The sequence below is a fragment of the Homo sapiens genome, chromosome 21 (genome assembly GCF_000001405.40).
Source record: "Homo sapiens chromosome 21, GRCh38.p14 Primary Assembly".
NCBI lineage: Eukaryota > Metazoa > Chordata > Mammalia > Primates > Hominidae > Homo > Homo sapiens.
Window position 1 is genome coordinate 46,618,348 of NC_000021.9, and position 14,173 is coordinate 46,632,520.

At 44.2% G+C, this 14,173-nt stretch overlaps 1 annotated feature.

The window, feature by feature from the left end:
* Window positions 6,040-6,540: an enhancer, noted in NCBI's record as "H3K4me1 hESC enhancer chr21:48044299-48044799 (GRCh37/hg19 assembly coordinates)". NCBI's record gives its function as "activates a minimal SCP1, AML or CMV promoter by ChIP-STARR-seq in naive H9 embryonic stem cells {active_cell/tissue: H9 hESC(naive)}" and the evidence as "EXISTENCE:reporter gene assay evidence [ECO:0000049][PMID:30033119]".

Here is a 14,173-nt window from a genome sequence, read left to right on the forward strand (position 1 = left end):
GGCTCACTACAACCTCCACCTCCCAAATTCAAGCGATTCTCCTGCCTCAGCCTCCCAAGCAGCTGGGATTACAAGCATGCGCAACCAAACCTGGCTAATTTTTGTATTTTTAGTAGAGACGGGGTTTGACCATGTTGGCCAGTCTGGTCTCGAACTCCTGACCTCAAGTGATCCACCCACCTCGGCCTCCCAAAGTGCTGAGATTACAGACTTAAACCACCATGCCCGGCAAGGATATTTTAAATATTTTAAAATAAATTTAATGTATGACTGGCTGCAGAGGCTTAAGCTTCTAATCCTAGCACCTTGGGAGGCCGAGGCAGGAAGATTGCTTGAGTTCAGAACAGCCTGGAGTTCAAGAACAGCCTGGGCAATGCAGCGAGACCTTGTCTCTAAAATAAATAAATAAATAAATTTAGCACAGCTTAAGTGTACAGTGCTTATAAGCCTACAGTAGAGTACAGTGGTGCTTATAAGTCTGCAGTAGAGTACAGTAATGCTTGCAAGCCTACAGTAGAGTACAGAAATGCTTATAAGTCTGCAGTAGAGTACAGTAATGTCCTGGGCATTCACACTCACTCACCACTCAAGCACTAACTCACCCAGAACAACTTCCAGTTCTGCAAACTCTGTTCATCGTAAATGCCTTATATGGGTATATCATTAAAAATCTTTTATATCATATTTTTACTGTACTGTTTCTATGTTTAGACATAAAAATACTTACTATTGTGTTTCATTGCCTACGGTATCCAGTAGTAACATATTGGACAAGTTTGTAACCTAGAAGCAACAGGCTGTATCATACAGCCTAGGTATATAGCAGGCTGTACCAGCTAGGTTTGTGTAACTGCACTGTATGATGTTTGCGTAAGGACAAAATTGCCTAATGAAACATTTCTCAGTATGTATCCCCATCATTAAGTGATATATGACTCTATTTCATTCCATCTTCTTCTCGCTTGCATAGTTTTTCAGGAGAAGTTAGATGTAATTTTTATCTTGCTTCTCTATGGTAACGTGTTTATTTTCTCTGGTTTCTTTTGAGATTTTTCCTTTAACTATGATTTTGTGAAGCTTGAATGTGATATGCCTAGTTTTGGGGGAAGGGCATTTATCCTATTTGTGTTCTCTGAGCTTCCTGGAGCTGTGATTTGGTGTCTCACATTAATCTTGGGGAAATTCTCAGTCATTATTGCTTCACATATTGCTTCTGTTCCTTTCTCTCTTTCTTCTTTTATTCTCATTATGTGTATGTTACACCTTTCGCAGCTATCCCATAGTTCTAGGATATTATGTTCTGCTTTTCCCGCTCAGCTTTTATTCTCTTTGTTTTTTAGTTTTGGAAGTTTTTATTGTCATGTTCTCCAGCTCTCAGAGATTTTTTCCTCGGCCATGAGTCTACCGATGACTCCATCAAAGGGATTCTTCCTTTCTGTTACAATGGTTTTAAAACTCTAGCATTTATTTTTGATTATTTCTTAGAATTTCCATCTTTCTGCTTTTGTTGCCCATCCACTCTTGCATGCCATCTGCTTTTTCTGTTAAATCCCTTAACATATTACTCATAGCTTTTCAAAATTCCTGGTTTGATAATTTCAGCATTCCTGCCATATCTGACTCTGCTTGTGATGCTTTTTTAGGCTCTTCAAACTAGTTTTTGTCTTTTAGTGTGCCTTGTCATGTTTTTTGAAGGCTGGAAATGAAATCTGGCTAGAAGGAACTGCTGTAAAAAGACCTTTAGTGATGCGGTGGTAGGTGCGGGGGAGGGAAAGCATTCTACAGTCCTATGAGTAGGTCTAGGTCTGTGGTGACTCTGCCCCCTTGAATTGTGACCTTCACAAGTGCTCCCCCATCCTGTGAGTGGAACAGGATGGCTGTAGGGGGCTGAAATTGTGTATTTCCCTTCACCTGCATGAAAGTCCAGAGCCACCTGGAGTAGGTAGGTCAGGCTCTGATGTAACCCAGCCAGTTTGGCTCCTGAGGACAGGCATTGTTAAGAACAGAATGCCCTATCTCAAGATGTTTTCTTTTTTCTTCCCCCTGCTGAAGCACAAGGGGATCTTTCTCCAATATCCACTGTGAGGACCTGGTCGAGCTCCTGGAGGTAAAATTCACAAAAGTGTAGGGGCCCTCAGGACGGGGGTCCCCCTGGAGGTTTTTGTCCCTCAGACTTGCCACACTGAGCCTCCAGCAATTTTTCGGGTTTTCCTACCCTGGCACTGGAGGTTTCTGCTGGAGATAAGTTGTGATTCTCTCTCCCCACCTGTCTGTCTCTCCAATGTTGGGAACAATAGTTTGTCTTGTGACCTCACTTCTCTACTGGATCTAAGAGGGGCTGTTAATTTTTCAGTTTGTTCAGCTTTTTACTTGCTGTTAGGATGGAGCAAAGATTTCTTAGCTCCTTACATGTTGAACTGGAAACCAAAAATGAGTAGTTACTTTCTGAAGATATAAAATCCCCAGAGTAATATAATAAGACATCACAAATGTCACTAGTCCACCTGTAAAATAATGTGTACTACTTCTTCCTCCCAATAATAAAAAAGCTTGAGGAGACAACAAGGGTGCCAACAGGCAGCTGGTTGCTGGAGGGCGATCACCACGGTGTTTCCCAGGAGAGTGAGACCATGCACTCTTTGGCTTGGGAAGAAGGGTGCCATTGTGAGCAACGCTGCCATGACTCTGCGAATGCCCAGGACATTACTGTACTAGCCAAGAGCTATCACTTGACTCGTGGTCATGGCGTTGTGGAGAGCTGCCTGGCATTGCAGCCTGTGAAACTGTGGAGGTAATTGGGAGGGGGTGATGGAGGCTCAAGGCCCATGGTGTCTAGTCTACCGCACCTTGAATGCCAAAGGCACCCATGTGGTTCACCCTCTGTCTACTCTGCAGATGGAGGGAAATGAGATGATGTAGCTCCAGGTTCCCAGACGACAACCTGCCATGACAGGAAGGGGCTCTCCTTCCCAAGCAACAGTGCTGCCTGCCCAGGCCAGAGCACGAAGGAGCTTGTGGGTCAACAGGGGCCTCTATTTGAATATATCAATCTTCTGTTAAGATCTTCTTCAGTCACTTGGATGTCCCTTCTCCCTTCATCCATTCAGCAAACTCTTGGCTCCAATCAACTAGGCAGCCAGCCCCGGGCCTTGCTGGGGCTGGTCAGGGGGTGGGAAGGGGTCATTCCAGAAAGGCCTGGGCAGCAACATTGTTTTCTCCCACAAAGGACGGTGCCATCCGCCACCAAGCCACTCACGAGGCTGACTCCAGTGACCGATGGCCACAGGCAGAAAAGGAGGCTTGTGTTCTAAAGGAATGTGAGGAAGAGACAAAAAGCTTCTGTTGTAGCAAATGCAAGTATTGATGCAATGAGAACTCACTGCCTTTCCTGTTCTAAAGAATGCCACTCCCAGCCAGCAGGCAGCCATGGGGTCAGGGCTTGGGTGCTGGGGCCTTGGAGCTGGATTCAGATCCGACCTCTGAACAAACCTTGTCAAACGACAACCTTTCTCAGGCTGAGTAAAAGACAGAAAAAAAGCTGCACCCCTGAGAGGGCTGTAGGAGGAGTAAAGGAAATTGACACGCACATACATGTGCACACATACAGACACACGTGAAGGGCCCAATGCACTCACTTGGGAGTCATTATTATTATTATAAAAGTTACTGTTCTTGTCTGCAGAACCTGGAGCTGGCAGGAGTCAGACTGGGCAAAGCAAAGAACAGCAAATAGCAGAGGGACAGAGACTTCTTTCTGAGCCAGATATATTAGGTCTAAAAGGGCAGAGTGAACCTACTGGCTACTTTAGAATACTCTAAATCCAGGAGGCCCCCAATCTGGCAAATTAAGGCAGAATATCAGCATTTCATGGGTATCACATTTTATTATTTTTGAACTATGTCAAATTCCATTAATTCATTTGGGTTCTAACCAGTCATTCCAAAGTCCATGCTCCCTTCCAGAAGTGCAGGCCCAGCATGAGCTGAGCCGGGGGCAGAGCAGGAGCACCGCTGTTTGCCCTGGGTCCATGGCAACGCCAGAGCCCAGCTCAACACAGCAGGGCTTTTGTTTTCATTTTTCAACTTTTTTTGAGGCCTTGAGAAGGAAGTGGAGATTGGAGTGTGAAGAGCCCACCCCACACAAAGCCGCTTTTCATGGCACTTGCTGTGCCTGTGGTTTCTTGCTCAGGAACTGAGTCTTGGTGAAATATAAGAGGAAGTGTTTGAACTGATGCTGGGGCAAGATCTCAAAAGGAAAACTGAGTTTTCCCTTTTGTAGAACTCTGTCACAGATATTTATTTTGATTATGCTTTTTATAACTTTTAAGGATTCTTGGAAATTTGCAATAAAATCATGTCAGGTTTAAATGTTTAAAAAATCATAGGATTAGCCTATTTGTTTTTTCACTCAACAGGAGTGTTTTTCATTTGACGACTTCAGAAGATCCCACGTCTTACAGCCCGTCCCTTCCTGTAGGACGCTGTGGGCCAGGACAGCACAGTACTCGGCCACATGCCCAAATGAGCAGCCACAAAAGTCTAATCAATCGATTGTTCAAACTGCTTAACTCACATCTGTAATCCCAGCACTTTGGAAGGCTGAGGCGGGCGGATCACTTGAGGTCAGGAGTTTGAGACCAGCCTGGGCAACATTGTGAAACCCTGTCTCTACTAAAAATACAAAAATTAGCCAGGTGTGGTGGCGCATGCTTGTAGTCCCAGCTACTTGGGAGGCTGAGGCAGGAGGATCCCTTGAACTCGGGATATGGAGGTTGCAGTGAGCAGAGATCCTGCTACTGCACTCCAGCCTGGGTCACAGAGATTCTGTCTCAAAAAAACAAAGAAAAACAAACAAACAAACTCTACTTAACAAGTGAGGATGCTCACGCCTTGACTGTAAAAATGCCTGCGTGGAATTGAACCACCTCGACAGCAACGACCCAGGAGGTGGAAATGAGTTGTTTTATTTTAGAGATTTAAATAAAGAACATACCAAACGTATGAGAGAAGAGGAAAGCTGAGAACCTAAAATCTGGACGCTCGGTTGGGCACAGTGGCTCACGCCTGTAATCCTAGCACTTTGGGAGGCCGAGGTGGGCAGATCACCTGAGGTTAGGAGTTCAAGACCAGCCTGGCCAACACGGTAAAACCCCATCTCTACTAAAAATACAAAAAAAATTAGCCAGGTGCCTGTAATCCCAGCTGCTGGAGAGGCTAAGGCAGGAGAATTGCTTGAACCCAGGAGGCAGAGGTTGCAGTGAGCTGAGACTGCACCATTGCACTCCAGCCTGGGCAACAAGAATGAAACTCCGTCTAAATATATAAATATAATTTTAAAAAATCTGGAAGCTCAATCCCTAGCAGTTTTGCTACTGCAGAACAATAACCTCTTTTGCTTTTGAAAAACAAACTTCAAGTTAAAAACACTGTGAATAACCTGGCACTATATTTCAATTTTTAGTGTAACTGGAATACATCCACAGGTATATTTAGCATCTAGTAGTTCTATTGAGTGCTAATGTAAATAAAATTTAAATCATAGGAGGAATAAACTATTTTTGGAATTAAAACTTAAGACAGACTCCATAATAAAATCAAATAATTTGATGTAATTCCTGTAACATATGTACTAACATTAAGTTCAACATTTAAAATTAATTATCTGTTATTGTGTATTAATTTAGAAAATTAATTGCAATCTTCTGAACTCTGCCTTTGGGGCTCCCTGGAACGAGGCCCAGGGGCCGTGTTTGCCTGAGTCGCATGCATGCACCTCCCTTCCCCAGGCGAGGCCCACTTGGCTGCGCGCCTCCCCACAGCGGGGACCATGAGATGCAGAGGCAGACAAGGACAGCGTCTTGGTGATCACAACTTTTAAAACGAAAAACTCAGATGCCCAGGATGAGAGAGCGCACACCCCGTGCTGATGCCCCACCCTGAACTTGCTGCTGCTGTGATGATGGCCACAGAAGGACAGCTGTTCACGGAGCCCTGGCCGAGCTCGCTCTGTCCTCAGCCTGTGCGGCTGGCCAGGTCCCTTGGCCGTAGGAAGGCTCCAGAGGCCTCTTTGGGTAGGAGAGTGTGGGGGATGGGTCAGTTGCTCAGCACACCAAGGAGCCAGGCCTCACAGGGACTCTTTTAGGGTCCCTAGATTTTGCAACTCAAGTGACAACCACTCCTGCCCCTGGAGTGTTGATTTGTGTGCTCCAATGCCCCCCAACATGTTGGCCGTCAGGTGCCCTGCCAGGCCCTGCGTGTTCAGTGTGCTCTGGTTCCTGGGAGGAAGGTAAGACACTGAGTTCTGAACTCTGGAGGTGGAAGGGGGCTCCTTGGACAGTCACCTGATTAAGCACAGCCCTGACCCCATCCTGGTCACAGGGGTGTGAGTCTCCAAGGACAGGGCTCCAGAGCACCGTGTGATAAGTCACATGCAAAGGAAACCTGGGCAATGGCATAAATGAGGACCTCCCCTTAGCAGGGAAAGGAGCTTAGCAGCCTTCGGAGCCTCAGCCTGCATAGGAAACGCATGTTTCTCCATCATGATGGGGGAAACTGAGGCTCAGGTTGTATCACTCAGTGTCAAAGCCAGGATTTGAACCTGGGCCTGCCTCCAGAGTCCAAGTCCCAACCACATGAAATGCTGCTGTCGTGGATCGGAGCAGGAGGAAATGCCCTGCTCTGACTCAAGGAGGTGCTTGGACTCTGCTTGTTTTTGTTTTTGAAACAGAGTCTTGCTCTATTGTCCAGACTGGAGTGCAGTGGTGCAATCTCAGCTCACTGCAGCCTCCTTCTCTAGGGTTCAAGTGATTCTTGTAACTCATCTCCTGAGTAGCTGGGATTACAGACATGCACCGCCACGCCTGGCTAATTTTTGTAATTTTAGTAGAGATGGGGTTTCACCATGTTGGCCAGGCTGCTCGAACTCCTGGCCTCAAGCGATCCACTTGCCTTAGCCTTCCAAAATGTTGGGATTACAGGCATGAGCCACCATGCCCAGCCAGACTCCACTTCCTGATGAAATGGCAAGAGAAGAGCATGTGGGGAGGATTGCAGACCTTGCTATGACCAACTTTGGAAAACACATTCTGCCCTCTGGCTGCACCCCCTACACATGCAAAATAGACTCACCCAGACACCCATGGTCTCGTGCCATTATGGCAGCCAGAGCTCCAGGTCTCACCACTTAACCATCTCCATGCGGGGTGAGGCTCCATGGGCACGGCTCCTCAGGCACAGCCTCTTCGATGTGTTTCCTTTTCAATCCACAGACTTGTGACCTCAAGAGCCAAGCACCTGGCCCAACCTCTTCACCCTATGTCTAATGGGGATGGGGATAGGACAGACACCTTGGCCCCTGCCACTCAGAAGGGGGAAACTGAGGCAAAAAGCAGGCAGTCTGCAGAGATTCTGAAATCCAACCTGACCCAGGTCAACAGGTCTGTGATTAGGGTGCAGTGTTGCTACAGGGACTGATTCTCTAGGCACCTGAGAAGAAAATAAAAGCCAGCTTGGATTAAAAGAACCAGATAGTACAAAATGAAAGGAGGCCAGTGGGCCCCTGAATTTCTACAGGCTAAGAAGACTGCTTAACCACAAACACAGGCTGCTTTTATTTTTCTAGTACAATTCCTTTAATAACTTTGTGGGTTTTCTATAAATTTTATTGATGTTCACTCCATTAGACAAAACCTGCACCGCAGATCTCTTTTAAATAGACCATTTTCTATTCAGGGCTCCCTGTGAGGCTGTTGTGGAACAATGCTGTTAAGATTCCCAGAAGGTCTCCTTAATAGGGGCCTGGGAGGCACATGTGTACCATCCCTGGGAGGCCCTTTGCCTCTGAAAAGGCTGGTGAGACACCAGTTGAACTCTTTCTGCATCTTAATGGAGGGTTTTATAATCCCACTCTTGGCTTCATGTCTGCTCTGAACCCACATATTCCCTACAGGGCTGTGGGTCCCAACTTTGCCCTGAGCCCTCTCATTCTTTGAGAATCTTCTGCTGGGAGAAACTGGGGATGAAAATTAGTTTCATTTTTGAGCCCAGCAAATCCTGGCTCCTTCATGTCTTTATAAGTTCTGTTTGAAAACCCCATCATTCCTTCTCCAGTGCCTCTCTCCCTAATCATTTCTCATGATGTGCAGGTGAAAGAAGCCAGTCATTCAATGACAAGAGCCTTCTTTCCTTCACTTCCAGAACATTTCCTTGCTTTTCCTCAGTCCCTTGCCAGCTGCCTTCTCATGCCTGCCAGCCTCCTCTCTGGGGCTGAGTCCCACAGCCAACCCGCAATGTTTTTTGGCTTTTGTCATGGTAGCATCCCACTTCAAAGTACCTGATTCTGTTCTGGTTACTATTGCTGCATAAGAAACCACCATCTAATAGCGTAAAAGCATCAGCTGTTTTATTTTTCTCCCAGGGCATGATCGGTTGGCACAGGGTGCTGGTGTGGCTCAGTGTCTAGGACCTCAGCTGGGGAGACAGAACAGCTGTGGCTCTGCGGCTGCGGTAGAACCATCCCGAGGTCACGTAGCACCAGGTAGGAGAGAACATGAAGGCTGGGCTCACCTGGAGCTGACATTTGCAGCACTGTTCATGGTGTCTCTGAGAGGCTGGGTTCTGAGGAGTGTCCCAAGAGCCTGCATTCCTAGAGGACTGAGAGAGCTGCATGGCCTTTCCTGAGCTGCCTCGGGAGCCACTGCAGGCCTCGCGACCTAGGGGTTACATCAGACATTACAAGTCCAAGACCAAGGGGAACAAACACGGACCCTGTTTCTCAATGGGAAGATGTCAAAGAATTTACAGCCATTGGAAAAAAAAACACCACAGCTTACTCTCTAGTCACACATTATTTACATATTAGTCCATTCTCATGCTGCTATGAAGAAACACCTGAGGCTGGGTAGTTTATAAAGAAAAGAGGTTTAATTGACTCGCAGTTCCTCATGGCTGGGGAGACCTCAGGAAATTTACAATCATGGCGAAAGATGAAGGGGAAGAAAGGCAACTTCTTTACAGGGTGGCAGGAAGGAGAAGTGCTGAGCAAAGGAGGAAAAGCCCCTTCTAAAAACCATCAGATCTCATGAGAACTCACTCACTATCATGAGAACAGTGTGGGGGTAGCTGCCCCCATGATTCAGTGACCTCCCACAGGGTCCCTCCCACCACACATGTGGATTATGGGAACTACAATTCAAGATGAGATTTGGGTGGGGACACAGCCAAACCATATCAGGGACTGAATTGTGCCCCCTACCTCCAAATTCATATATTGAACCCAATCCCCAATGTGACTGTATTTGAAGATAGAGCCCTTAGCAAGGTATTCCAAGGTGAGCAGGTCTATGCAAACCTGCCCCCAAAGTCAAGGAGGCTCAGAAAGAGGCTGACAAATCAGTTTCTGAGAAACATTTAACAGTGACTTGTGAACAGAAGCTATGTCTGTGTCTTGGGCAGCATCGAGGGAAGTGGGTGGATCTCCTCATTGTTACCCTCCCAGACCCAGGGCTTATAGACCATAGGGGAAGAGTATGCATGCTTCAGAGGTGATGTGTAGGATAACCGCATGGTAAGTAAGATAATGTCAAGATTGTTTTGCCCTAAGGGCAGGATTTATGGTAAGTGCATGCTCTTACACAAGGACCAGTAGTTAAAATACAAATCTTAGAGGCATTTCAGGAACCGGGGTCAATCAGAAGCCAACACGGAGGATCAGCATCCAAGATGGAGCTGCTTTAGGCTCCACAGGAGGTCATTAAGGTTCAACAAGATCATAAGGGTGGGTCGCCAATCTGATAGCACCTAATCTGGTGCCCTTATAAGAAGAGGAACACATACTGGAGTGCTCTCATTGCATGCACACAGTGGAAAGGCCGTTTGAGGACACAGCAAGAAGGTGGCTGTCTACGAGCCGGAAAGAGAGCCCTCACCAGAAATCTAATTTGCTGGCACCTTGATCATGCACTTCCAGCCTCCAGAACTGTGAGAAAATAAATTTCTGTTGTTTAAGCCTCCTAGTCTGTGGTATTTTGTTAAGGCCGCCTGAGCAGACTATTGTATGAAAACCAGCTATCATCAGCTAGAAAACCAGCAGCTATACCTGGTTACTGGAAGAATTGTTTTTTGAGGTTGTGGGACTGAGGTCCTTAGTTCTTGCTGGCTGTTGGCTGTCAGCCTCAGTGAGTTCCTAGAGGCAGCCCTCAGTCCTTGTCATGGGGAATGTCCCCAAAATAGCCACTTGTTTTATCAAAGCTAGTAAGAGAGTCTCCTTGCAAAATGGAGGTCAAAATCTTATATCACAGAAGTGACATCCCATTACATCCCATTACACTTGTGGTATTCTATGGTTCAAAGCAAATCAAAGGTCCCGCCCGCTAAAGGTAGGGGGACACTGCAGGCGTCAATAAGGGGCTGACTGCTGACAGCTCTGAAGCCCTGCCGCCCTTCCACCGCATATCTTGGTGGTCTGATGAGGAAGTGTGCACATGGCTTCCCGTGGGGCCAGTGGGAAGCTCAAACCACGCAAGTCCCACCTGCACACATGAGCTCTTCTCTTTCCCTATGCCCTAACCCCAAGAAAACCCAGGCTACCCACCTCCATCCTTTCCCAAGCCACTCAAGCCAGTTCTAGACCAGCTTGCGTGCTGGGCTGCTGCACCCAGAAGCACTCATGATGGCTAACAGGTGTTTTCATGCCCTCTTAGGGTGTGTCACATCATCCATCTCAACATTCGACCTATCGATTGGGAGGGGCAATCCTGAATCAGCAGATTCAATGCAGCAGGCACAGATACCAGGAGGCAGGGAAAGTGGGGCCACTTCAGAGCTGGCCAAACTTTGCTTTATGACAAACCGTAGTCTACTTTGCTTTCTTGGTAAATGTTCCACGTGTACCTGAAAATAACAGACACTCTGCTAGCGGTTGGTGAAGTGGATATACTGATTTTATATATTTGTGTATATATGTAAGTCTCATGATATATGCCGACATGACGTGTGTCATGTTGGTTAAATGAGCTGTTTGAATCTCTGTCCTCCGCCTTTTTGTTCTGAGTTACGTGACAGGTGTGTTAAATTCCCCAACTACAATTATGGATGGTTCCGTTTCTCCTTTGAGTTATATTAATTTTTGAATTTCTGGATTTTATATTTTGAAGGTATGTTATAGACACACAAATCTGGGGCTGCTATTTCTTTCTACTGAATTGACATTTTATCATTATGAAATAATTCTCTTATTTCTGGTAATACCATTTGCATTAAAGTCTGCTTTTTACAATATCAGTATGATTTGTGTTTTACACTATCAGTATGGTTTGTGTTGGTGTGGTATTGTTTCACTCTTTTACTTTCAACTAAATGTTTCTTTATAGTAAAGTATGTTTCTTATAACTACCATTTAGTCAAATCTCTAAAAGAGATACTTAAAAATATTGGCATTGGCCGGGCACGGTGGCTCACACCTGTAATCCCAGCACTTTGGGAGGCTGAGGTGGGTGGATCACTTGAGGTCAGGAGTTCGAGATCAGGCAGACCAACATGGTGAAACCTCATCTCTACTAAATATACAGAAAAAAAAATTAGCTGGGAAGGGTGGCACACGGCTTTAATTCCAGCTACTCGGGAGGCTGAGGCATGAGAATCGTTTAAACCCAGGAAGCAGAGGTTGCAGTGATCTGAGATTGTGCTACTGTACTTTAGCCTGGGTGACAGGGCTAGACTCTGTCTCAAAAAAAAAAAAAAAAGGCATGTTTTCTATCTTTACATTTAATGTTGTTACAAATATAGTTGGGTTTAATTCTGCCACCTTGCTGTTTATTTTTATTTTATTTTTTATTATACTTTAAGTTCTGGGATACATGCCTAGAACGTGAAGGTTTGTTACATAGGTACACACGTGCCATGGTGGTTTGCTGCACTGCTGTTTATTTTTCATTTGTCTTGTCTGTTTTTTATTTCTGTAGTACTCTCTTACTGTTTTCTTTTCCATTTTTAAAATTTATTATTTTTCTTTTATCTTCTATTTTGCTTGTTGTCATACATCATTGTATTTTTTGAGATCTCATTATGCACTCTTGACCTGCCTGAAGTTATTAGGATACTTTTGCTTTGTCCTAACAAAGATCCAGCACGTTACAATTGTTTATTTATCCCCCTTGCTCTGTGTGCGGCTGTTGGCATATATTCCACCTCTACACATTATAAACCTCACAAGTCACAATTATTGTTGATTTAAGGACAAATGTTAAAAATACATTTATCCATTTATTTACACTTTCTAGTACTCTTCTGTCCTTCCTGCAGTTATGAGATTATCTTATTTTAGCCTGAAGTTCTTCTTTTAGCATTTTAGTGCATGTTTGCTTCAGTCAGATTCTGTTTATCTGAAAATGAATTTATTTTGACTTCCTTTGTAATGGCTATTCTTCTTAGGCTTAGAATTATACATCAGCAGATTTTTCTCTTTTTTTTTTATCATTATACTGTAAGTTCTGGGATACATGTGCAGAATGTGCAGGTTTGTTACATATACACGTGCCATGGTGGTTTGCTGCACCCATCAACCCATCATCTACATTAGGTATTTCTCCTAGTACTATCCCTCCCCTAGCCCCCCACCCGCTGACAGGTCCTGGTGTGAGATGTTCCCCTCCCTGTGTCCACATGTTCTAATTGTTCAGCTCCCACTTATGAGTGAGAACATGTGGTGTTTGGTTTTCTGTTCTTGTGTTAGTTGCTGAGAATGATGGTTTCCAGTTTCATCCATGTCCCTGCAAAGGACATGAACTCATCCTTTTTATGGCTGCATAGTATTCCATGGTGTATATGTGCCACATTTTCTTTATCCAGTCCATCACTGATGGGCATTTGTGTTGGTTCCAAGTCTTTGCTATTGTGAACAGTGCTGCAATAAACATACGTGTGTGCATGTGTCTTCATAGTAGAATGATTTATATTCCTTTGGGCATATACCCAGTGATGGGATTGCTGGGTCAAATGGTATTTCTGGTTCTAGATCATTGAGGAATCGCCACACTGTCTTCCACAATGGTTGAACTAATTTACACTCCCACTAACAGCGTAAAAGCGTTCCTATTTCTCCACATCCTCTCCAGCATCTGTTGTTTCCTGACTTTCTAATGATCACCTTTCTAACTGGTGTGAGATGATATCTCATTGTGGTTTTGATTTGCATTTCTGTAATGACCAGTGATGAAGAGTTTTTTTTCACGTTTATTGGCCGCATTAATGTCTTCTTTTGAGAAGGGTTCATTTCTCTTCATTATTTTTTCTCTAATCTTATCTTCACACTTTATTTCATTAAGTTGATCTTCAGTCTCTGATATCCTTTCTTTTACCTGATTGATTTGGCTATTGATATTTGTGTATGCTTCATGAAGTTCTCGTGCTGTGTTTTTCAGCTCCATCAGGCCATTTATGTTCTTCCATTTGGGGCTGGGTTTATAGTTTTGTAACCCCTATGCCAAATGTTGACACCTTATAGTAATTGGCAGGGATAAGTAGGAAATTGCTTGATAAATAAATGCAAACAAAAATGTATGCTGGCAATTCTTAAGACATTTCTAAATTACTTTGCCACTATTTTTAAAGCTAACTTATTTATTAAAGATTTTAAGTAAACTTAACATTTGACTAGTCTTTCCCTTTTTCTAATAAAGTATTTTATTTGAGCACTTTTATTTTTCTTTAATTAATAAATAAATAATTTATTTGAGCACTTTTATTTTTCTTTAAGCCAATTAATTATAGCTCTTCTATATTTTTTAATAGAGAAACATTGTGTACGCAACACATAAATACATAGATGTATTAGGTATACCGATAGAAGTACATCTTATAGATTCCTAAGACCTCTTTTTTTTTTTCTATCTTAGACTTGCAAACTCTTGATCATCTGTGTCATTGCCCTGGCAGTTGCCGGCTAAATAGCCCTAAATCTGCATATTAAAGGAAACTATTAGATGAAAAATTAGATAGCAAAATTTACATTTTAAGGTACAGAGAGGAAAAAGTCTGGTGGTGCTAAAGAGAGATTAAAAATGGATGTGAAATCAAACATAAAATTATGAAAATCTATCATAGGATTGTATAAGGAGACCAGTTTTATTTAGACAGAGACTCCCTATATTTTAACTGGATCTCTGAGCTCTGGGCA